This window comes from Homo sapiens, chromosome 1 (assembly GCF_000001405.40).
Source record: "Homo sapiens chromosome 1, GRCh38.p14 Primary Assembly".
NCBI lineage: Eukaryota > Metazoa > Chordata > Mammalia > Primates > Hominidae > Homo > Homo sapiens.
The window spans coordinates 28,726,047-28,752,140 of record NC_000001.11 but is presented as its reverse complement, the minus strand read 5'-3'; the positions used below and the strand labels follow the sequence as shown (position 1 = coordinate 28,752,140).

At 45.2% G+C, this 26,094-nt stretch overlaps 1 protein-coding gene across 3 annotated transcripts in view, besides 8 other annotated features; it reads right to left on the bottom strand.

Moving 5' to 3' along the window:
- Positions 1-15,517, bottom strand: part of YTHDF2 (YTH N6-methyladenosine RNA binding protein F2) — a 33,152-nt gene extending 17,635 nt beyond the window's left edge. The window contains exons 1-5 of one of the 3 annotated variants that reach the window (NM_001173128.2): positions 15,332-15,517; positions 14,994-15,094; positions 14,459-14,483; positions 13,803-13,882; positions 8,155-9,738 (exon numbers count right to left, since the gene is read on the bottom strand). In NM_001173128.2, coding sequence (NP_001166599.1) covers positions 8,155-9,738; positions 13,803-13,882; positions 14,459-14,483; positions 14,994-15,020 — 1,716 coding nt within the window. In that variant the 5' untranslated portion in view covers positions 15,021-15,094; positions 15,332-15,517. Of the gene's footprint in view, positions 1-8,154; positions 9,739-13,802; positions 13,883-14,458; positions 14,484-14,993; positions 15,202-15,331 lie in introns of those variants that run through there. The other 2 variants (NM_016258.3, NM_001172828.2) reach the window with 2 other exon arrangements.
- Positions 2,306-2,826: an enhancer, noted in NCBI's record as "H3K4me1 hESC enhancer chr1:29075827-29076347 (GRCh37/hg19 assembly coordinates)". NCBI's record gives its function as "activates a minimal SCP1, AML or CMV promoter by ChIP-STARR-seq in naive H9 embryonic stem cells {active_cell/tissue: H9 hESC(naive)}" and the evidence as "EXISTENCE:reporter gene assay evidence [ECO:0000049][PMID:30033119]".
- Positions 2,827-3,348: an enhancer, noted in NCBI's record as "H3K4me1 hESC enhancer chr1:29075305-29075826 (GRCh37/hg19 assembly coordinates)". NCBI's record gives its function as "activates a minimal SCP1, AML or CMV promoter by ChIP-STARR-seq in naive H9 embryonic stem cells {active_cell/tissue: H9 hESC(naive)}" and the evidence as "EXISTENCE:reporter gene assay evidence [ECO:0000049][PMID:30033119]".
- Positions 3,923-4,146: a silencer, noted in NCBI's record as "fragment chr1:29074507-29074730 (GRCh37/hg19 assembly coordinates)". NCBI's record gives its function as "represses an EF-1alpha promoter that drives an FKBP-Casp9 reporter gene in an ReSE screen in K562 erythroleukemia cells {active_cell/tissue: K562}" and the evidence as "EXISTENCE:reporter gene assay evidence [ECO:0000049][PMID:32094911]".
- Positions 8,344-8,852: an enhancer, noted in NCBI's record as "H3K4me1 hESC enhancer chr1:29069801-29070309 (GRCh37/hg19 assembly coordinates)". NCBI's record gives its function as "activates a minimal SCP1, AML or CMV promoter by ChIP-STARR-seq in naive H9 embryonic stem cells {active_cell/tissue: H9 hESC(naive)}" and the evidence as "EXISTENCE:reporter gene assay evidence [ECO:0000049][PMID:30033119]".
- Positions 14,587-15,485: an enhancer, noted in NCBI's record as "NANOG-H3K27ac-H3K4me1 hESC enhancer chr1:29063168-29064066 (GRCh37/hg19 assembly coordinates)". NCBI's record gives its function as "activates a minimal SCP1, AML or CMV promoter by ChIP-STARR-seq in primed H9 embryonic stem cells {active_cell/tissue: H9 hESC(primed)}" and the evidence as "EXISTENCE:reporter gene assay evidence [ECO:0000049][PMID:30033119]".
- Positions 14,595-14,704: an enhancer, noted in NCBI's record as "active region_605". NCBI's record gives its function as "activates an Ori minimal core promoter by ATAC-STARR-seq in GM12878 lymphoblastoid cells {active_cell/tissue: GM12878}" and the evidence as "EXISTENCE:reporter gene assay evidence [ECO:0000049][PMID:35858748]".
- Positions 15,805-15,854: an enhancer, noted in NCBI's record as "active region_604". NCBI's record gives its function as "activates an Ori minimal core promoter by ATAC-STARR-seq in GM12878 lymphoblastoid cells {active_cell/tissue: GM12878}" and the evidence as "EXISTENCE:reporter gene assay evidence [ECO:0000049][PMID:35858748]".
- Positions 16,385-17,284: an enhancer, noted in NCBI's record as "H3K27ac hESC enhancer chr1:29061369-29062268 (GRCh37/hg19 assembly coordinates)". NCBI's record gives its function as "activates a minimal SCP1, AML or CMV promoter by ChIP-STARR-seq in primed H9 embryonic stem cells {active_cell/tissue: H9 hESC(primed)}" and the evidence as "EXISTENCE:reporter gene assay evidence [ECO:0000049][PMID:30033119]".

Genomic DNA, 26,094 nt, shown 5'->3' with positions numbered 1-26,094 from the left:
TTCTTGAAAGCTAAACAGCTGGCTCCAACTAGCCAGCTCCAACACATCGCTGGAGAGACTTCTGTTAAAGACCAACTCCAACACTTACTAGCTATGAGACTTTGGATAAATAACCTCTGAGCCTCTTCCTTTATCTGAAATATGAGAATTACAGTGTTAGATAAGATAGCTAAGCTTCTGTGTGTACTATGTGCCAAGCACTGTGCTGCCATTTGAGTGCTTATCATTCTATTATTACTTATTTGGCAGGGTTCCAATGTTATTGCCTCCATGAATTCTTAATTTCCCCCAAGTAATTAATCACTTCTCCAGAATGCCAAAAATGTATTCATTCCTCTATTACAGCTCTTATCCCATATTTTATCCATTTTGCTGTCCTCCTAAAACCCTCTGCTTCTAAGGCAAAGATGGTGCCTTGTTTCTCTGTTCCATCCCAGCAATTAACACAAACGTTTGTTGAAAGATAGATACAAGGGGCATGGTTCAGAGATACAAATTCAATGTTATCTATTCTCTTCTAGTCCTCCTTTAAGGAGGCTGCAGAAAGAGGCGTTTTATCTATTCACAAAGCAAGGAAGGTGATGAGTAATACAAATAAAATTTCCTTAACCCTTTTGGCAGATAAACAAGTATATTTATCTGCAAGACAAAAATAGACATAGATGGCCTTAGGATTTTACAAAAAATGCTCATGTTTGTCATCCTGGTTTAAAACAGGATGCCCACTCACTAGATCTGAAGAGTCAATAAAACAGTGGTGGGGTGGTAAGATACTAAATGGGAGCCAACAGTATCACATGGTTATTTACTTCCTAAGGATTTAATATATTTAGCTCAAGTGAGGATGTTTTCCTCTTTTATATCACAGAAACTTGAATTTTTTTTGAGACAGTCTCGCTCTGTCACCCAGGCTGGAGTGCAGTGGTAAAATCTCTGCTCACTGCAACCTCCACCTCCTGGGTTCAAGAGATTCTCCTGCCTCAGCCTCCTGAGTAGCTGGGATTACTAGCGTGCACCACCACGCCCAGCCTTTTTTTTTTTTTTTTTTTTGAGACAGTCTCGCTCTGTCACAAAGGCTGGAATGCAGTGGCACAATCTCAGCTCACAGCAACCTCCATCTCCCAAGTTCAAGCGATTCTTATACCTCAGCCTCCTAACTAGCTGGTATTACAGGCACGAGCCACCACGCCTGGCTAATTTTTTTATTTGTTGTAGAGACAGGGTTTCACCATGTTGCCCAGGATGGTCTTGAACTCCTAGGCTCAAGTGATGTGCTCATCTCAGCCTCCCAAAATGCTGGAATTACAGGCATGAGTCACCGCATCCAGCCTCTAAATTTCTTTAATAAGCCTTTTCACAGTTTAGGAAACAATTTTTCATTAATATATATATATAGTAAATGTATTTAAAAACTACCCACATACTTAATTTGTATCAAAATTCACTGAGAATGCACCAATCCCTTCTGTCATCCACAGCTTTCTGGCCTCAGTCCGTTCTTACTTATTTTACGTGTAACAAATACTTCGGTCAGAAATTATGAAACAACCTTTCTAAAAAGATCTGTTTCAAAGGACAAATTCATCTTCACAAACCTGAAATGTTATCCTGAGTCAGCTAATCCTCTTTTATCCCTTGGTTTCTCTAGTCCAGACTACCCTATGTATGAACCCCCTCTACAACATCCCTAGTTTAGTTTCTATAACATCTCTTTTAGTTTCTTGAAATTCTGTGACTAAGAACTTCGTTTTTAGCAAGTTTTCCATCTACAAAAATATTTCTCCATATAACCTCTATCCATTCGTTCTAGCTTTGTCTTTTGACATGAAGAATCTAGTCTTAAAAAAATTTGGGCTGGGCATGGTGGCTCATGCCTGTAAACCCAGCACTTTGGGAGGCCAAGCCAGGCGGATCACAAAGTCAAGGGTTCAAGACCAGCCTGCCCAACATGGTGAAACCCTGTCTCTACTAAAAATACAAAAATTAGCCGGGCATGGTGGTAGCTGCCTGTACTCCCAGCTACTTGGGAGGCTGAGGCAGGAGAATCGCTTGAACCTGGGAGGCAGAGGTTGCAGTGAGCCGAGATCACGCCATTGCACTCCAGCCTGGGTGACAAAAGTGAAACTCCATCTCAAAAAAAAAAAAAAAAAAAAACAACCTTTTTTTTCAAAAATTTCAATAGCACAAAAGGGTATACAGTGAAAAGTCAAAAAATCCTACTGGTCCCATTTAATACCAATGACTTTTTTTTAGACTAAAACTCAAACTGTTGCCACCACAATCACACTTCCTCTGTAACTCAACTCTCTCCTCACTCTCCATTTGCTCTGCAGTTATTCAGAAAAATCATTTACCCAAGTACCCAATTAAGTCTACCTTTTTTTTCTATTTCATTAATTTTTGTCTCCCACGGCTCCATCATTCATTGAATCTAACAAGATGCTGGACTTAAAAGAATTAGTCCTTTGTCCTCTCTACTTGACTGCTTCCCTTATTCTTGACTACTTCCCTCATTTTTACTTGTAGTTAAAGGGCTAGAAACAAGACAAAAATTAAACCAATTATTTTATGAAATTTCTTTTAAAAAATTCACTCATTCAGGAAAGTTAACTCTCCTTTCTCCCAGACTATTCCAAAGTTGAGTCAAAAGAGAAACACGGCTGGGTGTGGTGGTGGCTCACGCCTGTAATCCCAGCACTTTGGGAGGCCGGGGCGGGCAGATCATGAGGTCAGGAGATCGAGACCATCCTGGCTAACACGGTGAAAACCCGTCTCTACTAAAAATACAAAAAAATTAGCCGGACGCCTGTAGTCCCAGCTACGCGAGAGGCTGAGGCAGGAGAATGGCGTGAACCCGGGAGGCGGAGCTTGCAGTGGGCCGAGAATGCGCCACTGCACTCCCGCCTGGACGACAGAGCGAGACTGAGACTCCCGTATCAAAAAAAAAAAAAAAAAAAAAAAGGAAGAAAGAAAGGCTCTTAACTGTTGCCTTCTTCTAGATAACAGTTGCACAATGATTCCCTCAACAAAACTTTTCAGGAAAAAGGAAAAAGGTTTATGTAGCAATATATACAGAAATTAGCCAAGACCACAAAGCACATACCCCTTTAGTAAGAATTTCTGAGTTTGTGGTTAAATACTAATTTTAAAAAACCATATACCTTTGACACATTTAACTACTAAAGGACAGATGTAAATATTTATACAAAAGGATGTTCAGTGTAGTGTTATTTTAATTAGAAAAAATAAAATACAAATTGTTGACATATTCAACAATTAGGGATTGGTAAATTATAGTAAGTCTGACAATACTATGAAGCCAACAAAAGTGATGTCATAGGGAATACTTAACTGGGGAAAAGTTCTAAATAAACGCAGAAAGGTCACACAATAGTATCTGCAGTATTCAACAAGGTAAACCACACCTAAAGCACAGTATATTGCTTTTTAAAAAAATAAAAGTAAGTCACATCTATCAAACATGTCACTAAAATTTGCTCTAAGTTTCAAGCCTGACAGATCTAATGCTTGAAGGTTCTATGTTAATTAGATCATGCAGAACAAGTCAGTAATAATGCTAGGCAAAAATGGCTGTGGCTCTGCTTCAGTGTGTTCTGCCAAGATACTGCCCAATCATGGAACTTTAAAACAGCTGTGACACCTTCAGGATGAAGTTTAAGTACTTCCCTACTTCTTTATGGGGTTACCACCCATCTGGCATGAAAGCTTCTGCAATCTCGTAAATACTACAAAGGTACACACACAAACACTTCACCTAAGGGAGTCTACCATCTCAATGAGCTATGAGCCCCATTCTCATAAAACCTGCTTGTTCTTTAAAGCCTAATAAAGATTGTAAGAACAGTTTACAATCAGTTATGTAAAGATGTTAAGGAAAATAGTAACCAACAGGAGAGTAAGGCAGTACTAACTAAAATGGTAACTGGGCTTAGAAGCAATCATAGGCATCTTCCTGAAATCCCAGCAGTTCTTTTTTTTGGTTTTTTTTTTTTGAGATGGAGTCTCGCTCTGTCGCCCAGGCTGGAGTCCAGTGGCGCCATCTTGGCTCACTGCAAGCTCCGCCCCCTGGGTTCACGCCATTCTCCTGCCTCAGCCTCCCGAGTAGCTGGGACTACAGGAGCCCACCATCACACCCAGCTAATTTTTTGTAGTTTATTTAATAGAGACGGGGTTTCACCATGTTAGCCAGGATGGTCTTGATCTCCTGACCTTGTGATCTGCCCGCCTCAGCCTCCCAAAGTGCTGTGCTTACAGGCGTGAGCCACCGCGCCCGGCCAGTGCCAGCAGTTCTTACAAGAGAGTAAACTAAAAAGTAACCTGACAGAAGTATAATTGAAGCCTTTATTTGGTGGTTTGCTCACCGGCTGAGAACTAGGATACTCACTTATCAAGAGTCTTTATGGGCTGGGCGTGGTGGCTCACGCCTGTAATCCCAGCACTTTCGGAGGGAGAGGCGGGAGGATCACAAAGTCAGGAGATCAAGACCATCCTGGCTAACACAGTGAAACCCCTGCACTCCAGCCTGGGCGACAGAGTGAGATTCGTCTCTCAAAAAAAAAAAAAAAAGTCTTTATGGAATGGTTTTTTTTTTTTTTTAGACAAGTTTTGCTCTTTCACCAGGCTGGATTGCAATGGCTCAATCTCAGCCCACTGCAAGTAGTAGCTGGGATTACAGGCACCTGCCACCATGCCCAGCTAATTTTTGTATTTTTAGTAGACACAGGGTTTCACCATGTTGACCAGGCTGGTCTCGAACTCCTGACATCGTGATCTGCTCGCCTCGGCCTCCCAAAGTGCTGGGATTACAGGCATGAGCCACCGCGCTGGGCAATGGTTTTTAAAAAGAGCCATTAGTTAGCTTACCAAAGACGCTAAATTCTGTTTACTATTGCACTCATTCTATGAAAACATTAAAAGGCTGGTCAATTCCAACAAACGAATCTTACACCTACATATCAAGTTCAATTATCATTAACTGAACCACTCTAGCAAACATAATCAAAATACATACTTGATTAAAAGCTGAATTTTTTTTTTGAGACAGAGTTTCACTCTTGTTGCCTAGGCTGGAGTGCAATGGCACCATCTCAGCTCACTGCAACCTCCGCCTCCCAGGTGTAAGCGATTCTCCTGCCTCAGCCTCCCAAGTAGCTGGGATTACAGGCATGCACCATCACGCCCAGCTAATTTTGTATTTTTTAGTAGAGACAGGGTTTCTCCATGTTGATCAGGCTGGTCTCAAACTCCTGACCTCAGGTGATCCGCCCACCTCGGCCTCCCAAAGTGCTGGGATTACAGGCGTGAGCCAGAGCCTGGCCAAAAGCTAAATTAACAAAACCTAAATTTGCTACTTGTTTGTTTAGACAGAGTCTCTCTCTATCGCCCAGGCTGGAGTGCAGTGGCAGGATCTCAGCTCACTGCAACCCCTGCCTCCCGGGTCCAAGAAATTATCCTGCCTCAGCCTCCCAAGTAGTTGGGATCACAGGTACCCACAACCACACCCAGCTAATTTTTTTTTTTTTTTTTGTAGTATTTTTAGTAGAGACGGGATTTCACCATGCTGGCCTCAAACTGCTGGCTTCAAACTGCTGACCTCAAGTGATCGGCCCGCCTCTGCCTACCAATGTGCTGGGATTACAAGCATGAGCCACCTGCGCCCAGCCTGCTACTCCATTTCTAAACCCATATTTCTTCATCTGGCCCCAGCAATGCAAAATTGAAAAGAAAATCACCCTGTATTTCCCCACTGGCCCTAACACATACAAGTCTATCTTAACAACTATGCTGTGCATTAAATTCATCATTTCCTTCCTGCTTTTAATCACAAGATGTAGGACAGAATTTTATTATAAAGATTAATAAGATAGTACACATTTCAAGTGGACAAACCAAGCACCTAGATGCCCCTCAGACGTCTATAAATCTGCTATGCTACTAAAAGATGCCTAAAAGATCATGGCCTCCTTACTTGTCCCTCTAGAAACAGAAGCCTGATGACCATTTAGAGCCCTTCAGATGTCTAGCAAAAAGCACCAATAAACTATCTTTTTCTACAAAATACTGTAAATTTTATTTATTTTTGATACAGAGTCTCACTCTGTTGCCCCTGCTGGAGTGCAGTGATGCAATCATGGCTCACTACAACCTCTAACTCCTGGACTCAAGGGATCCTCCTTCCTCAGCCTCCAAAGTAGCTAGGACAACAGGTGTGTGCCACCATGCCCAGCTAATTTTTTCTTTTTTAGAGAGATGGGGTCTCACTACATTGCCCAGGCTGGTCTTAAACTCCTAGGCCCAGGCAATCCTCCTGCCTCGTCCTCCCAAAGTGTTGGGATTACAGGTGTGAGCCACCACGCCAGGCCAAAATATGTTAGTTTTTTTTTGGGGGGGGGGGGCGGGGGGAGATGGGAGTTTAGCTCTTGTTGCCCAGGCTAGAGCACGATCTCGGCTCACCGCAACCTCTGCCTTCGGGGTTCAAGTGATTCTCCTACCTCAGCCTCCCAAGTAGCTGAGATTACAGGCATGTGCCACCACACCCGGCTAATTTTGTACTTTTAATAGAAACGGGGTTTCTCCATGTTGGTCAAGCTGGTCCTGACCTCAGGTGATCTGCCCACCTCAGCCTCCCAAAGTGCTGGGATTATAGGCGTGAGCCATGACGCCAGGCTTAATATGGAAGACTTTAAGTTAAACTATTAAACTGTGGGGAAGAGAGGAGTTTAAAGGACTATCAAAAAGGAAGTTTATTAGCCAACTTTTCAATAATCTGGTTCTCCATTCCCAATGCTTTTAGTGTCACTGACAAGTGTAACTCCCATTTCTTATTAATCTGTACCCACTGAAAGATAAAATAGCAACCATCCCTACTTTAACAACTATGTACCTCCAAGAAGATTGTACCAACGAGCCCTTCCTCCACTGCTAAAAGGAGTAAATTCTCATAGAGCAGCCTAACAATGCCTCAGATCCTAGATCACGTATAAGATCCCTATGAATTCATAACAAATTTAAGGAAAACATTGCTTGTTAGACTTTATTTTATATTTGAGATTAATCAACTCAGGATTCTCTCAACCACTAATACACAGATCTTCAAAGAAAAATTTCTCCTTGCTCATAAACTTTTCACCTACTTCCTACATTTAACAATGTCTAGGCCAGCTGCAGTGGCTCACACCTGTAATCCCAGCACTTTGGGAGGCAGGGGCAGATCACTTGAGCTCAGGAGTTCAAGACCAGCCTGGGCAACATGGCAAAACCCAGCTCTACAAAAAACATGAAAAACTAGCCGGGCATGGTGGTGCATGACTGTGATCCCAGCTAGTCACGAAGCTGAGATGGGGGGATCACTTGAGCCCAGAAGGTGGAGGCTGGAGTGGGCGGACATCATGCCACTGCACTCCAGCCTGGGCAACAGAGAACCCTGTCCAAAAAAAAGTAAGTATAAATCCCAGATAATATATCATTATCTGCTCCAACCAGTTTTATCATCCTCTTATAATCCTAAAGTTTACATTCACTCAATACTCACAGAGCAAACGCTACCAACTCTTTCAAATTCAACTCTAGTTTGAATCCATTCCTCATCATTCTGCCCAAGATTCCCACTTGTTACAGAGGAAATCAGAAGTGACTCTTTTACACCGCCAATTGTCACAGGGAAGACAGAAGTGATTTCAAGAGTTGGTGATGACATATTGACTCTTGAAAATAACCACAAAACCCCAGCTAGGCCAAGTTAATCCAACAGAGAACATTTCGATTTTTCTCTGCCATATTATAGACTCAATCTTCTGCTTTAATTTCTATGGTTTTATCACTTCCATTACCCCTCTGCATCTCTTTGACTCATTCTTCACCTCTTTCTGCATCATGTACTGTTTCTGTCTGATTTCCTTGTACTGTTTTTGCTTTCCTTTCAAAGTCCGTATTTCTGTCCTCTACTAATGTTCTCACATTCCTTCACATTAGGGTTCAAGTATTAAAACCAATTATACTTCTATAAAGCCTTGAACTGTTAGGTGATACTGTATTCATTTACAGAGTTTTTATTAACGGTTCACTATATAATACCTCTTCTGTTCTCTCTGGTTCCTCCTTCCCTAAAAATCTTAATAAGAAGAAGTGGGTTACCTTTTTAACACTTTCTTCTTCCTCTTGGCGTTTCTCATAGTGTGAGAAGTCATCAAAAATGGAAGTGGTGTGCTTGTAGCTGGCTATAATTTTCAACACCTGCTTAGCCTTTTCCAGAGGCACTTCCTGAGTGTCCCTAGAGTTGGTCACTGGTTTATTCTCGTTGTTCTCTAGGCGAATGTGTCGCAGTTGGCTATTGGGAACGTCCTTCACAAAAATCCACCTGACATCAAAACGACCCTTCCATTTGTCCTGGGACCACACACCTGCACATGTGTTGTAGTCCACAGCAGATTTCATTTCTGCCACGCCACAGAAGTGTCCACTGCCGTTGACACTGAAAAGTAAGTAAACGGGGCCTTTCCCGTTCATGGAACGATAAGCAGCATCCAGTCTCTTGTTACCATGCTCTGTGCTGCACCAAATATTATACTTAATGGAACGGTGAATATCGTCCTCAGAGTAGCTCTTAATGATGAAAACCCGGCCATGTTTCAGATTCCAGTCAAAATCTTTGGGGTTATAGTTATTAATGGACCGAAGCTTCTCCAACACTGGGTGGGGTTCTGAAGGAGTAGATCCAGAACCAGCCTGAGACTGTCCTACTCCATTACCATCCACCCCATTATGACCGAACCCACTGCCACGGTTCCGAGGTGCTACCCAGCGGGTTGGCTGAGCTGCCTGTTGCTGGACTGAAAGCTGGGCAGGCTGTGGTGGAGGTGGAGGCAATGGCTGTGTCTGTTGCCCTACTGATGCCTGAGCCACTGGTGGGCTATTGTTAGCCTGCTGACCTACAGGCTGAGGAGACCCCTGGGTTGGCTGACCTATATTCTGAACCAAAGCCTGTGAGGGGGCTTTTGCAACGGGACCCTTGTTATCCCAAGTTCCAATATCCATGTTATGCTTTATCGGGGGTGGCGGAAGACTTGACCCTGCAATGCCATTCTTGGTCTTCAGTTTAGGTTGCTGTTTTGCAGGCTTGCTAGCAATATCAGCCCAAGATGCTGGTTTTGGAGGAGCAATGGTGGCTGGAGGCAAACTATTGGAAGCCACGATGTTACTAGTAATGGACCCGCTACCAACAGCAGAACCTACAACTTTTGGAACATTGCTTGCAACTTCTGTGCTACCCAACTTCAGTGCTGCCATCCCTTGGTCTATAGTATTCATGCCAGGAGCCTTATTGAGGGTCTCATTGGCAAAAGCTGACTGTCCATCAATCATGGCTCCACCTAAGGAGCTAGGTGCATAAGCATAATTGCTACTATATCCAGAGCTCTGAGTAGACTGTCCCTGAGAACTGTTATTTCCCCATGCTGAGAAGTCAATCCCACTGGGAAAGAAATTAAAACCATGCTGACCAAGAAATGGAGTGCTACCTAGGGCTCCTGGTTGCCCAAACATTGCATCTGGTAGGAAGTGGGGCTCTCCGTTGCTCAGCTGTCCATAAGAAGTTAAGTAGGGCATGGCTGTGTCACCCCCCGTAGACCAAGCAGCTTCACCCAAAGAATAGGAGAAGCCAATGGAGGGACTGTAGTAACTGGGTAAGTAGGAATCTGACATGGCAGTATATGCATTATTCTGTGGAAGAAAAAAAAAGGCAAATCAAAACACAAAAAATTAACATCAGGCTATTTCCTCCCCCCACCTAGTCACGCAATTCAAATATACTATAAAAAGGAGTGTGCAGGCCGGACGCGGTGGCTCACACCTGTAATCCCTACACTTTGGGAGGTGGAGGCGGGTGGATCACCTGAGGTCAGGAGCTCGAGACCAACCTGGCCAACACGATGAAACCCTGTCTACTTGGGAGGCCTGAGGCAGGAGAATCACTTGAACCCAGGAGGCGGAGGTTGCAGTGAGCTTAGATCGCACCACTGCACTCCAGCCTGTGGGCAACAAGAGTGAAACTCCATCTCCAGGAAAAAAAAAAAAAGTGTGCAGCACATCAGATGATTTCCTATAAACACAAGGGCATTTTTTATATCATAAGAAATTTTGGTGTAATAACTGAAATGTTTAAACATTTAAAGTTAAGCTGATACAGTGAATATGGGCCTTAGCTTTAGCACTACAACTAAGTAAAGAGAAAACTTAGCATTTCACAAACTGTTTAAGTCCTGAGTGTTGAGATAATCCTTTTATCAACTTCCTATACAAACCAGGTGATAATAAAACAAGAATAACAAAAAGAAATGGAAATTTCAAGTTCTAGCCCAAATGTCTGTACAGCCGTTCCTCAATCATAAACCAAAAAGCAAGGTTCACTACCAGTTTATAGTGCTAGCCTCTTGGCAAACTATCTGGGAATATCAATAGATCCCACTACTCAGTTATAACCTGAAAAGGAAATGCACAGTGGTTTCTGGAGGATGTAAAATGAGAAATATGGCCAGGCGCAGTGGCTCCCGCCTGTAATCCCAGAACTTTGGGAGACAGAGGGGTGGATGACTTGAGGTCAGTTCGAGACCAGCCTGGCCAACATGATAAAACCCAGTCTCTACTAAAAAGACAAAAAATTAGCTAGGCATGGTGGCACACACTTGTAGGCCCAGCTACTCAGGAGGCTGAGGCGGTAGAATTACTTGAATCCAAGAGGCCGAGGTTGCAGTGAGCCCAGATGGCACCACTGCACTCTAGCCCAGGCAACAGAGCCAGACTGTCTCAAAAAAATAAAATAAAAACAGGCCGGGCACAGTGGCTCACGCCTGTAATTCCAGCATTTTGGGAGGCTGAGGCGGGCAAATCACTTGAGGCCAGGAGTTGGAGACCAGCCCGGCCAACATGGTGAAAGCCCGTCTCTACTAAAAATACAAAAATTAGCCAGGCGTGGTGGCACCTGCCTGTAATCCCAGCTACTCAGGAGGCTAAGGTGGGAGAATTGCTTGAACTCAGGAGACAGAGGTTGCAGTAAGCCGGACTGCACCACTGCACTGCAGCCTGGGCAACAGAGCAAGACTCCGTCTCAAAAAAAATAAATAGCCGGGCGCGGTGGCTCACACCTGTAATCCCAGCAATTTGGGAGGCCAAGGTGGGAGGATCACGAGGTCAGGAGATCGAGACCATCCTGGCTAACACAGTTAAAACCCCGTCTCTAGCAAAAATACAAAAAATTAGCCAGGTATGGTGGCGGGCGCCTGTAGTCCCAGCTACTCGGGAGGCTGAGGCAGGAGAATGGTGTGAACCCAGGAGGTGAAGGTTGCAGTGAGCCGAGATCGCACCACTGCACTACAGCCTGGGTGACAGAGTGAGACTCTATCTCAAAAATAAATAAATAAATAATACATAAAAACAAAAGTGAGGTCTTTTCACACATACCCTTTTCACATTTAAAATTTCTCACAAAGGTAAGGTTAAAAATTTTAGCAGACCCAAATCCACATATATAAGAAATTCAGCCTATAATCAACAGATTAAACTTGAAGTATTATTCCAAAATAGGGTAATGAAAAATTGGCTAAAAAGTAGATGACTTACTCTAGACAATGAACTAGATTCTCAGGTTACCCTTCCTCATCTACTCATCTAAGATTTATATTATTAGCCAAATTTTTTTTAAACAAAGACATTTAAGCTTTGGCTTACCTGAGAAAGAAAAATCAAATGCACTTAATATCACAGGTTATGCCAAGACACAGTTGAATGTCTGTACCTGAACTGGCAGGCTCCCACATGCTCAAGCTAAAAAATTTGAATTACACAATGTTTTACAAGAACTACCTAGAATTATGCTTCTAAATGCTCCAACTCTCCCTGTTATAATGATTATGTAAGCAAACTACTTCAATAGCAGGAACCTATTAATAGTTCATTCCTCTACTTCCTTCCCTACTTTTCCTGATTAACTGGTTGTGTTTTGTGAAAACTTTTTTCCAATCACTTGCTCAAGTGGTTTCTATACTTTCAGTGTTGAAAATTTTACACAGGGATTCTACAAGTTTTATGTGATAATCAGATCCATATATGGGCATGCAGTTATTCAGGACTACCAACTATGTTTCATACAGCATACGTTCAGAACTTATAAATTTCTTGACCTTTCAGGGCATTTTGGAAGATATATTGCCAGTTTTCCTTTTGGCCTATTAATCTGGGGAGTTAAATTAGTTACAACAGTGTAACTGTCTTTGGAATCAGAGATAATAATACAAAAGAACTGCTGAATCAAACAAGTTTCTACATGCACAGGTCATATTAGTATTTGAATCTACATGCAACTTTAAAAGACTATGCCACAAAAACCTCCAACGTTATTGATCTTCATTTGTGCTAAACAGTATTTTAACTTTCACTCCATTTTATAAATCCTACACCTCCCTTCGGTGAGAAATAAAGTATTCTCCACAGATGTAGGTGCAGCTCAACTCAAAAATTTCCTGACTCAGCCGGGCATGGTGGCTCACACCTGTAATCCCAACACTTCTGAGAGGTCGAGGAGGGCGGACCTCTTGAGCTCAGGAATTCAAGACCAGATTGGGCAACATAGTGAAACCCCCATCTCTACAAAAAAATTAAAAAAATTAGCCGGGCATGGTGGTCCCAGCTACTTGGGAGGCTGAGGCGGGCAAAATCACCTGGTAGGCAGAGGTTGCAGTGAGCCGAGATTGCACCACTGCACTCCAGCCTGGGTGACAAGAGTTGACACTACGTCTCAAAAAAAAAAAAAAAAAAATTTCCTAACTCCGAAATAGTTCTGATAATCTAAGAACCCATAAACTAGAGAAAAGAAAGACAGCCAGTCCTGCAGCACTGAATGAAGTTCAGGTGACTATTTTTTAGAGACCAGATCTTGTTCTGTCACCAAGGCTGGAGCGCAGTGGCTTTTCACAGGTATGATCGTAGATAGCTCACTGCAGCTTCAAACTTCTGGGCTCAAGAGATCTTCCCGCCTTCAGGTGATTTTACATTAGAACTTTCCCTATCATATGAATCCAAAGTTCTCTGGGGTGAAAATTCAGAATATTTAACACTGTAAGAATCCCTAAATTCTGCACTGCTACATTCTTGGTAAGGAAGAAGACAATTATTCATGCACATGTTACTGCCAGTAGAGTGTTATCAGTATTACGTTCTCAATACAGTATGGTTGCTGATATTACAGAGATGGGAATCTCAACGGCCTAGGACATTTGCAGTTAACTGTTTTATAATACATTAATAGGTATTAAGGAGGTGAACCCTCAGAACATGGGATTTCCTGATAGAGGGCAGAGAAAAAATACAGGTATTAAGAAAGTGAATCCTCGGCTAGGCGTGGTGGCTCACGCCTGTAATCCCAGCACTTTGGGAGGCCAAGGCGGGTGAATCACCTGAGGAGTTCAAGACCAGCCCGGCCAACATGAAACCCCGTCTCTACTAAAAAAATAGAAAAACTAGCTGTGTGCGGTGGTGCACACGTGTAATCCCACCTACTCGGGAGGCTGAGACAGGAGATTCGCTTGAACCCGAGAGGCGGAAGTTGGAGCGAGCCGAAATTGCGCCACTACACCCCAGCCTGGGCGTCAGAGCGAGACTCAGTCTCAAAAAAACAGAAAACAGAAAAAAGAAAAAAAAATGAATCCTCAGAAAATGGGATTTATTGGTAGAAGGCGGAGAAAGAATATACCACACCCTTCGATTAGATATGTAAATAGTTAACTACTCACGGGCCTTGCCTGTGGACTCAAGTAAGGTTCAAAATCATCATCGTTTAATCCATCCTTTTGATGTACAGATCCATTTTGTACTAAAGAAAAAAAAATTCAATTAGGAGTGTCCCAATCCTACAATCTTCCTTTCAAATTAGTTCATATATGCTAACCAGAGAAAAACCTTACTAGTTAACAAAGCACGTAAGATTGAACTTCAAAAGGGTAAGAGATGACAGTGAATGCTGAAGCGACAGTCGCCAGTGAAAATGTCCCCCTCCACCCAGAGCAAGTTGATCTAAAAAGGTCATTTTATTGGCTCCTCTGGATTTCCATTCCCTCCCGCTTCCCCTCCCCCATCACATGAGAGTACTTCCAGAGAGTGATCCACGAGGATGAAAAACAAAGGCCTTCTAAGACCTACAGGAAACTAAGGACCTGGAGCGTTTCAAAACCCAATCCACCCCCACCCTTAATGAATTACTCCTTGTTAGCGAAAAAGCTGTTCGCCAGCTGCAAGAACACACCGAAAGGGTCAAAATACTTAAGTGTGCGGCACCTGCGAACTAAGCGGCTTCCGAAAGGTCCTCCGCCCGGGGCGCTTCCCGGAGACCCCGCCCCCACCGCCCCGCGTCCCCCTCCCGGCTCAGGGCCACCGGCGGAGCGGGACTTACCTTTGTTTCCTTGACCTTTTGGTCTCTGCAGGGGAAGGAAACGTCGCCGAGCAGCAAGTTGTCCAAAGGAGAAATGGAAAAGGAAGAACAAATTAAGGCAGGGCCCGAAGGGAGAATAAAGGAGCAGGCCCGAGGGGAGGCGTCAGGAATGGTAGTGAGGAAGAGGCTGAAAATGGGAGGCGGGGGAAAGCGCCAGGCCCGTGGGGCAGGGGAGAAAACGCGGCAGACGCGCCACCGGCGACGCGAGGAACCCAGGGCTTTAAGGAAGGGGAAGGAAACAAGGAAGGAAAACGAGGCCCGCCGAGAGAAGGGAACGCGGCGCGGCCCGGCCCGTGGGCTCCGAGGCCCGAGGAGAAGCGGGAAGAACAGGCTGAGGGAGAGGCGCCGGGCGCGGCCGGCCTGAGAGGCCCGAAACCTGGCCCGCAAGAGACGACGCCTCGGCTCGGCTCGGCCTGCCCAGGAGCGGCGGGCCCGGGCCTAGTCGGGCTCCTTCTCGCCTCACACAATGGCCGAGGCATGCGGGCCGGGCCTGTACCTGCTCCAAGAGGCTGCTGGCCGACATGGCTCTCAGATCCTCACGGGCGGCGACGGCGGCGAACTCTCCTCAGCGCGGCGGCGGCGGCAGATGAGCCCCGTCTGCGGGAGCAGGCGGAGGCTTTTGTCCCTGACACTCGGGGGCCTCGGCGGACGCAGCGGAGACACAGCGCGCGGCTCAGGCTCCGGCTCCGACTCGGCGACGCTCTAGCCCAAGAGCTCAATGCCCGTCTCTATGCTTTTACGCGCGCGCCCGCCCCCCACCGCCTAAAGCAGAGCGCCGAACAGCGGAGGCGGGCGGCGCGCGCGGCGCGAGCGCTGACTCTCACATTCACTCACCCACGCGGAAGGGGCCCGGCGCGAAGAACCCCGGGAAGGGAGAGGCCGGCCGCTGCGCCCTCTGGCGGATTGGAGGAGCGGAAGCCGTGCTCACGGCCTCCCCGCCCCCACCGCCCCAGGATTAAGGCCTAGGGGGTTTGGGACGACCAGGGTCGCACCACGAGGTTTCGACTAACACCTGGAAAGACTAGCTCTGGCTTCAGAAGAACGACAAAAGCCGGTTTCTCAGTGAGGGAGGGGCCTCCGAAGCCCGCGAGACCTTAAAATGAACCTGCCTTCCAGCTGCAAGTGATACCCCACCCCCATCTGGGAGGTAACCCGACCCCTAGGGAGTCACACAGTCCCCAGGGAAACTTCATGGGGGCCCTGTCCGGGAGTGACCCGCCCCCGCCCCCGCGAGGGGCTTGGTCATCCTCTGTTAGCCGACTACAGAAAGAGTACCCAGAGAGCAAAACACACACCGAAAGAATCCAGTCTCCCGCAAAAGAGATTCACCCCTTAGCATTGCAGGAAGGAGAATCTACAATTTATTTTCGGGGAAATCGCTGGCCCCAAGATAATCTGTTAAATTGTGGACTTTATTTCCAAGAAAAATACACCTCATGCATCTACACAAAACTTTCAAGGAGTCCGGAGAACCTATGAATCTTAAGGACCTCAAGAGGGAAGCAAGGAAATTAACATTATTGAAATACCAGCTGTGGGCCAGGCTTTGTTGTTAGGTATTTTCAAACACATTAAAGTCTTTCGACAACTTCAAAATCGCTATCAGTCTTTCGGTTTTTTACGACTGGAAAAACAGAAAGCTTAAGTAATGTGCCCAAGTTTACAAAACTATTAAATAGCCAGGTGTATCTGACACTAACATAATGGTATCTCTCTACCCCTACGAGACTCTGTATTAGGGAACCAGAATATAGGGGAGATGCAAAGGATGGGCAAAAGTATTTTCAATCAGAAGCAAAGCCAACTCATGCAGGAATATTTGATACTAGGAAAGCCCATCTAATAGCTTTTGTTATTGCAAGTACGTCGTGGTAAACAGGTAACTAATGCACTAATTGTCAACCTCGTACTATCCACACGCTGGATATAGGAGGCTTGGGTGGACTCGGTAAAATAAATAACATGGCATCTTGGATTTAACATCATAATTTGGTCAAAGTGCTCAAAGCACTTTTTTTCTCTGCCCATAATCACATTTATGGTAGGAATGAGTAAGGTCAGGCACCAAAGGTGAAGGACTTTTAATGGAGACAGTAAAATGTCAAGTCTGGGAGCATAGATTCCATCAAGGGAATAGAATAAACCTAGTAATACTTCTTTTTAAAGATACTCGGCTACGGCGGGCGCGGTGGCTCATGTTTGTAATCCCAGCACTTTGGGAGGCCAAGGCGGGCCGGATCATGAGGTCAGAAGATCGAGACCATCCTGGCCAACATGGTGAAATCTCGACTCTACTAAAAATACAAAAATTAGCTGGGCATGGTGCCATGCACCTGTAGTCCCAGCTAATCGGAGGCTGAGGCAGGAGAATCGCTTGAACCCGGGAGGCAGAGGTTGCAGTGAGCCGAGATCACGCCATTACACTCCAGCCTGGGCAACAGAGCGAGACTCGTCTCAAAATAAATAAATAAATAAATAACAAATAATAATAATCAGCCACTTAGCTCCATGGCCCAGATTTATGTATAAACTGTAAGCGGTTGCCTATACTTACCCTTGGAGGCAACATGGCATTGTAAAAACAGCATTAGACGAGAAGTCATATGCTGGGAGACAAAGGGTCTAAATAATGGTTTCCCCACCCAGATGTGCAATACTGGGTAAACAACTAAAACCTTTCTTAGATTCCCTCATTTGATAAAGGGGATGATGGATAATGATACCTACCCAACAGGTTTGTCGTGAAGATAAACTTTAAAAAAAAAAAAAAAAGCCGGGTGCGGTGGCTCACGCCTGTAATCCCAGTATTTTGGGAGGCCGAGGAGGGCAGATCACCCGAGGTCAGGAATTCAAGACTAGCCTGCCCAACACGGTGAAACCACGTCGGTACTAAAAATACAAAAATTAGCTTGAGCGTGGTGGTGGGCCCCTGGAATCCCAGCTACTCGGGAGGCTGAGGCAGGAGAATCACTTGACCACAGGAGGCGGAGCTTGCAGTGAGCCGAGATCGCGCAATTGTACTCCAGCCTGGGTGATAAAGCGAGACTCTGTCTCAAAAAAGTAAATAAAATAAGTAAAATTAAAATTTTTTTAAAAGCTGACATTAAAGCATGTGTGGCACAGTGTAAGTTCATTTCCTATAATCCCATTAAGCGATTTAAGTAAAAATTCTTTCCCTCCAAGAAAGAATGGTGCCAGGAGTTTTTATTAGTTCCTTTGGGATGACTTTCTGTTTGCCAGAAGTTCCCAGTTAAAATGCAAATTATCCTTAGGAAAAGGGTAATCTCTAAACCTGGATTCGTTTACCATGATGGCTTTTAACAGGCCCCTGAAGAAACAGAACCCAGAAGACTGATAATATTTAATCACTGGAAAGAGAGAGGGGAAGTTGGAATATGTGGTGTCATTTCATGGTTTGAAGAAAATAATACTGTACTGGAAATGTTTAGATTCTAGGTTCAGCTCTGCCGCTGGGTAAATGAAGCATTCAGTCTCTCTTTCAACAAATATTTATTGAGGGCCAGGCAGTGTGCTGGGGAGAAAGTTCATTTCTCCTTGAAGCAGACTAGCCAGGGAAACTGAGACTATGAAAATAGCTATTCAAATAGTTGTTCAATTACAGTTGTGGAAAGTGCAATGAGGAAGTACAGACAGGTATAACCTCCTCAGAGGAGCTAGGGAAGGTTTCCCTGAGGAGATGAGCTTCAGCTAAAACATAAAGGATGAGGAGAAACAGGCCAGGCAAGGAGAGAAGGGAAACAAAAGAACAACATGTGCTGGCCAGGCACGGTGGATCACGCCTGTAATCCCAGCACTGCGGGAGGCCGAAGCGGGCGGATCACCTGAGGTCAGGAGTTCGAGGCCAGCCTGGACAACACGGTGAAACCCCGTCTCTACTAAAAATACAAAAAAATTAGCTGGGCGTGGTGGCAGGCACCTGTAATCCCAGCTACTCGGGACGCTGAGGCAGGAGAATCACTTGAACCCAGGAGGCAGAGGTTGCAGTGAGCAGAGATCGCGCCATTGCACTCCAGCCTGGGGGACAACAGCGATACTTCCTCTCTCAAAAAAAAAAAAAAGAAAAGAAAACAACATGTGCAAGGGCCCTGAACAAGGAAGGAACTTGGCACTGGTGAGGAACTGAAGGAGGCCAACATGATGGTGCACCATGAGAGAGAGGGTGGCACTAGATAATACCGAGGAACTGGGCATAAAGGAGAAAAATAAGTCAGGTATGGTGGCATGCGCCTGTAGTCTCAGCTACTCGGGAGGCTGAGGCAGGAGGATTGCTTGAATTTGGGAGGCTGAGGTTGCAGTGAGCCAAGATCCCACCACCACACTCCAGCCTGGGGAACACAGTGAGACTCTGTCTCAGAAAAAAATAAAAATAGGCCAGGCGCGGTGGCTCACGCTGGTAATCCCAGCACTTTGGGAGGCCAAGGCGGGTGGATCACGAGGTCAGGAGATCGAGACCATCCTGACTAACACAGTGAAACCCCGTCTCTACTAAAAATACAAAAAATTAGCCAGGTGTGGTGGCAGGCACCTGTAATCCCAGCTACTTGGGAGGCTGAGGCAGGAGAATCACTTGAGCCCGGGAGGCGGAGCCAAGATCGTGCCACTGCACTCCAGCCTGGGCAACAGAGCAAGACTCCGTCTCAAAAAAATAATAATAAATTAACAAATAATAATAATAATAAAGGGTTAATAGGAGCAGAGCAGGCTCTGGTTTACATTTTAAGAAGTTTACTCTGGTTGCAGTGTGGGAAGTAGATTTAAGGAGAAGAGAGTAATTTAGGAGTTAGAAGAGTGTTGCAGTAAGTTCAGGCCAAAAAATAATAATAATAATAGTGGCAGGCTCTAATGTAGTGGCAGTGAAGACAGCGAGAAGTGGACAAAATTGTGTCCAGGTACAGTGGCCCACACCCCTAATCCCAACACTGGGAGGCCAAGGTGGGAGGATCATTTGAAGCCAGTAGTTTGAGACCAGCCTGGGCAATATAGGGAGCCTTCCGTCTGTAGAAAAAATAAGTAAATAGGCCGGGCGCAGTGGCTCATGCCTGTAATCTCAGCACTTTGGGAGGCCGAGGCCGGGAGATCACAAGGTCAAGAGATTGAGACCATCCTGGCTAACATGGTGAAACCCCATCTCTACTAAAAATACAAAAATTAGCTGGGCGTGGTGGCATGCGCCTGTAGTCCCAGCTACTCGGGAGGCTGAGGCAGGATAATCACTTGAACCCAGGAGGTGGAGGTTCCAGTGAGCTGAGATCGCACCACTGCACTCCAGCCTGACAACAGAGCGAGACTCCGTCTCAAAACAAAGTACATAAATAAATAAAAGAAGTACGACAAAATTGAGAAGTTTTAGAAGGTAAAATGGGGACTCTTGGTGGTTGATTGGATTGGGAGGGAGGACCCTAAAGGAGAAGTTGGTATCAAAGATGATAACTGGTTTGAGATGAGCATTTGGGCAGGGGAGGTATGGGTTTTCTGATGTGGGAAATGCTGGAGGAGATTTGCTGGGGAGCAGGGAGGTCATAAATTTATCTTTGGACATGCTGGGTTTCAGGAAAACATAAAACATCAGATCACAGCCAGGCATGGTGACTCACGCCTGTAATCCCAGCACTTTTGGAGGCCGAGGCAGGTGGATCACGAGGTCAGGAGATCAAGACCATCCTGGCTAACACGGTGAAACCCCGTCTCTACTAAAAATACAAAAAATTAGCCGGGCGCGATGGCAGGCGCCTGTAGTCCCAGCTACTCGGGAGGCTGAGGCAGGAGAATGGCGTGAACCTGGGAGTCAGAGCTTGCAGTAAGCCGAGATAGTGCCACTGCACTCCAGCCTGGGCGACAGAGAGAGACTCCTCTCCAAAAAAAAAAAAAAAAAAAAACACATCAGATCAAAATGTTCTGTAGAGGCCGGGCATGGTGGCTCATGCGTGTAAACCCAGCACTTTGGGAGGCCAAGATGGGAGGGTCGCTTGAGCCTAGAAGTTCAACACCAGCCTAGGTAACATAGCAAGACCCTGTCTCTACAAAAAAAAAAAAAAAATATATATATATATATATATATGATAAAAAATTAGCCAGGTGTGGTGGCACACACCTGTGGTCTCAGCTACTCGGGAGGCCGAGGTGGGAGGATAGCTTGAGCCTGGGAAGTCAAGGCTGCAGTGAGCTATGGTCATCCTACTGCACTCCAGTCTGGGCAACAGAGAGAGACCCTGTTTCAAAAAACAACAAAGAAATGTACAGTAGACAGTTAAACAGTTTAGAGCTCAGAGAGAAAAACAAGGCTGGGAATCCAAACCTTAGAGGCTTTGGTATACAGATGCTAAAGTCAAAGGAGTCCTTGAGATTTCCTCAGAAGAAAGGGAGAAGAGTAAGGCCCGGCACCAAACCAGAGAGATCGAAGGGAAACCAGGAGAGTAAATCATTTCCTCACTCAGAGTCTATTTCCAAGACTGTGAAATAAGGAAGATGAGTTCCAAAAATAACCCCTTCTATTTCTACCATTTTAGGCCTCTGGTGGAAACCGAAGAGATCCTTCTGGATATATGAGGGCTGTGGCAGGGGGTAGAATGAGAGAGAAAACACATAGGAAGGGGAAAGGGAAAATTTTACATACGCTTCAGAATTTTGCCATGGGCTGGACTGGGTCCTAGAGTTCCAATCACAAACTTTCCAGACTTCCAAAGCTCTTCTCAGGAACAATAGACTTCATTGCCCAAGTCGTTCCATTAATGTATCAGGAATAAAAGAGACCACTGGTGAGAAATGTTTATATATCTCACACAACTGACAGTGTAAAAACACTTAAAAATTTCTGCTAGTTTTCTGTGGTGTACACAGTGTAGGACACTTGTCCCTCTCTAGCCCTGTGTATTTCTCAAGCATTGATTGCCAGGCAATTCCAGTCACTCCAGTCACACTGAAGTCACATTGAACTTTTTAAAAAATTTATTATTGACCGGGTGCAGTGGCTCACACTTGTAATCCCAGCATTTTGGGAGGCCGAGGTGGGTGGATCATGAGGTCAGGAGTGCAAGACCAGCCTGGCCAACATGGTGAAACCCTGTCTCTACTAAAAATACAAAAATTAGCTGGGCATGGTACCACGTGCCCGTAACCCCAGCTACTCGGGAGGCTGAGGCAGGAGAATTGCTCGAACTGGGACCCGGGAGGCAGAGGTTGCAGTGAGCCAAGATTGCACCACTGCACTCCAGTCTGGGCTACAGAGTAAGACTCCATCTTAAAAAATAGATACATATAATTATTTAGTTATTTTATTTTTTGTGTTTTTTGAGACAAGATCTTGCTCTGTCGCTCAAGCTGGAGTGCAGTGACACGATCTCAGCTCACTGTAGCCTCAACCTCGTCTTCCTGAGGCCTTGGCCTCCTGAGCAGCTGGGACCACAAGCACAAACCACTATGCCTGGCCAATTTTTTATTTTTTGTAGAGACAGGGTCTCTATGTTGCCCAGGCTGGTGTCAAACTCCTGGCCTTAAGCAATCCTCCTGCCTTGGCCTACCAAAGTGTTGGGATTACAAGCATGAGCCACCATACTCTGAACTTTAAAAAAATTTTTTTCCCAGAGCCCGTAATTTTGCACATGCAGTTGTTTCTGCCTGAAATGGCCTTGCCATCTTCCCTATCCAATTGCTATCTGTCCTTCAAGATCCTGATCGGTGAAGCATTATTTCTGCCTCCAGGCAGAAAGAAGGTGCTATTCTTTGTTCATCCATAATATTGGTCATATTTCCTTATGGTAACTTATTTTAGTGTATTAGAACCATCTGTTTACTTCAATATTTCCCTTTTATTGGTGGGGGGACATTTTGGACTCAGTTGAGAATCTAATGAAAGTAATGAATCTTCTCACTGGAAACATACACATACACCCAAATTTTTGCCCATGAGCAATCTCATTAACTACTCTCTCCCCAAGCCCACCCACCACATGGACACTAGGTGAAAAAAAAACTAGTTTACATACTGCTAGGCCCAGCCTGGTGGCTCAAGCCTGTAATCCCAGCACTTTGGAGGCTGAGGCAGGCGAATCATTTGAGGTCAGGAATTTGAGACCAGCCTGGCCAACACGGTGAAACCCCGTCTCTACTAAAAATACAGTAATTAGCTGGGTGTGGTGGTGCGTGCCTGTAGTCCCAGCTACTCGGGAGACTGAGGCAGGAGAATCGCTTGAACCCAGGAGGCAGAGGTTGCAGTGAGCTGAGTCCATGCCACTGCACTCCAGCCTGGGCAACAGAGCAAGACTCCATCTCAAACAAACAACAACCTAGTTTACATATTGCCCCTCTAATAAATCTACAACTGCTTAAAGGACAAAGAGGCCAGGTGCGGTGGCTCACGCCTGTAATCCCAGCACTTTGGGAGGCTGAGGTGGGCAGATCACCTGAGGTCAGGAGTTTGAGACCAGCCTGGCCAACATGGTGAAACCTCATCTCTACTAAAAATACAAAAATTAGCTGGGCATGGTGGTGGGCGCCTGTAATCCCAGCTGTTTGGGAGGCTGAGGCAGGAGAATTGCTTGAACCTAGGAGGCAGAGGTTGCAGTGAGCCGAGATCACGCCACTGTACTCCAGCCTGGGCAGCAGAGTGAGACTCCATCTCAAAAAAAAAAAAAAAAAAAGGACAAAGAACATTTTTTATTATAAATCTGTATAACCCAATGCTAAGTAAATGTTTGAATTAATCTGTTATCTCATTCATTTTCAAAATTCTCTCTAGTAATGTCAACCTCCATTTTTTTTTTTTGAGACAGAGTCTTGCTCTGTTGCCCAGGCTGGAGTGCAGTGGCACAATCTTGGCTCACTGCAACCTCTGCCTCCCGGGTTCAAGCAATTCTCCTGCCTCAGCCTTCTGGGTAGCTGAGATTACAGGCATGCGCCACCACACCCGGCTAATTTTTTTTTGTATTTTTAGTAGAGACAGGGTTTCACCATGTTGGCCACGCTGGTCTCGAACTCCTGACTTTGTGATCCACCCGCTTTGGCCTCCCAAAGTGCGGGGATTACAGGCGTGAGCCACCACGCCCGGCATCAACCTCCATTTTATAGATGAAAACCTGGTGGGGCCAACAATTGTGATAAGCAGTTAAATGTGCAGCTTAACTAGCTTAGTGGGATGTTAAAAGAAAAGTACTGTGGAAACCAAAATCACCAGGTAAATTGATGATTGGTTAACTAGCTTAGTGGGATGTTAAAAGAAAAGTACTGTGGAAACCAAAATCACTAGGTAAATTGATGATTGGCTTTTTAATGTGCAGATGTTTTATAAATCTCTGAATAGAGGTATGAAAAGAGCAATGTAAAAACCAGACTAAAGGAAGAAAGAACCTGCAGCTGGGCCAGGTGGCCTTAAGCTGCTAGGAATTCAAGGCTGTGAATATTCAAGGGATACTTTTAGAGACATATAGGGCAGAAAAGAACGTGAACCAAGAAAGAACCACCATTAAAAGACCCTTGAAGATTCAACTGGAAAAAAAAAATTCGACTGGAACTCTAGAAGAGAAAGCAGAAATTTTCACCTGTCCTCCAAGAAGTGAGAAAGGTAATGACAATGTAATGAGTTTTGTTTTTTGTTTTTTTTGAGACAGAGTCTCACTCTGTCACCAGGCTAGAGTGCTGTGGCACAATCTTGGCTCGCTGCAACATCCGCCTCCCAGCTTCAAGCGATTCTCTGCCTCAGTCACCCAAGTAGCTGGGATTACAGGTACATGCCATCATGCCCAGCTAATTTTTGTATTTTTAGTAGACACAGGGTTTCACTATTATGGCCGGGCTGGTCTCGAACTCCTTACCTCAAGTGATCCATCCGCCTCGGCCTCTCAAAGGGCTGAGATTACAGGCCAGAGCCACCAGACCCGGCATGTAATGAGTTTTTCATAAAGCTAAATTTTATTCAATTGAGAGAACTTTTCTTTATCCTGAGATTATTTATTTCTTACCTCCTTGATGTCAACATATCCTTTCTTTTCAAATGATGGCAATGTTGCAAGATGAAATGAGATACAAAATAAAAAAGAAGAAAAAGAGAATCACATGATGGGCCGGGCACGGTGGCTCACACCTGTAATCCTAACACTTTGGGAGGCCGAGGCAAGTGGATTCCTTGAGCTCAGGAATTCAAGATCAGCCTGGGCAACAGGGCGAAAGCCCGTCTCTACAATAAATACAAACAAAATTAGCCAGGTATGGTGGCACACGCCTGTGGTCCCAGCTACTTGGGAGGCTGAGGTTGGAGAATCACCTGAGCCCAGGAGGTCGAGGCTGCAGTGAGCCAAAATTGTGCCACTGTACTCCAGCCTGGGCAAATCAGAGTGAGACCCTGTCTCAAAAAAAAAAAGAAAAAAAAAAAAAAGGGAAAAAGAAAATGGCAATGAGATTTGGCAATTAAAAGAAAATCCTTTTTTCACAAAATATAATGTTGGGAAGCTCGTGTTGGTCTCCAAGACGTGTTTTGTTTTATTGATACATGAGATCTATAGGTCTGAGTATCACTGTGCTAGGGAACAGCGTACCATCTCAATCTAAGACAATAGACTTGAGAGAAAAATGGAACACAAACAAGATTTCTGGAGATAGTGCCAAGGGGAAATGAAGTCAAGGAGCCTCTGGAAGGCTGGTCCAATTTTAGCTGGGTGTGGTGGCATATATCTGTAGTCTCAACACGTAGGAGGCTGAGGTGGGAGGATGACTTGAGCCCAAGAGTTCAAGACTGCAGAGAGCTATGCACTCTAGCCTGGGCAACAAAGAGACCCTGGCTCTAAAAAAAAGAAATTTAGCTGGGTGCAGTGGCTAATGCCTGTAATCCCATCACTTTGGGAGGCCAAGCTGGGCGGATCATGAGATCAAGAGATCGAGACTATCCTAGCCAACATGGTGAAACCCGTCTCTACTAAAAATACAAAAATTAGCTGGGCATGGTGGTGCACACCTGTAGTCCCAGCTACTCAGGAGACTGAGGCAGGAGAATCACTTGAACCCAGAAGGCGGAGTTTGCAGTGAGCTGAGATCATGCACTCCAACCTGGTGACAGAGTGAGACTCTGCCTCAAAAAAAAAAAAAAAAGAAATTTAAATCTGTGCAAAGAAAAAATAATTACACGGGCCAGGTGTGGTGGCTCACACCTGTAATCCCACCACTTTGGGAGGCCAAGATGAGAGGATGGCTTAAGCCCAGGAATTTGAGACCAGCCTGGGCAACATATTGAGACCCCATCCCTACAATAAAAAATAATAATAATAAGACTAAATATGTTCCAAATAAAATATCATGATTGTACAATGATTCATTGAAGGGTTCCTTTTAGGTATTAAGCTTCTCTAGTACTTTTTTTTTTTTTTTGAGGCGGAGTCTCACTCTGTCGCCCAGGCTGGAGTGCAGTGGCACGATCTCGGCTCACTGCAACCTCCACCTCTTGGGTTCGAGCAATTCTCCTGCCTCAGCCTCCTGAGTAGCAGGGATTACAGGCGCCCACCACCACGCCCAGCTAATTTTTGTATTTTTAGTAGAGAAGGGGTTTCACTATGTTGGTCAGGCTGGTCTTGAACTCCTGACCTCGTGATCCA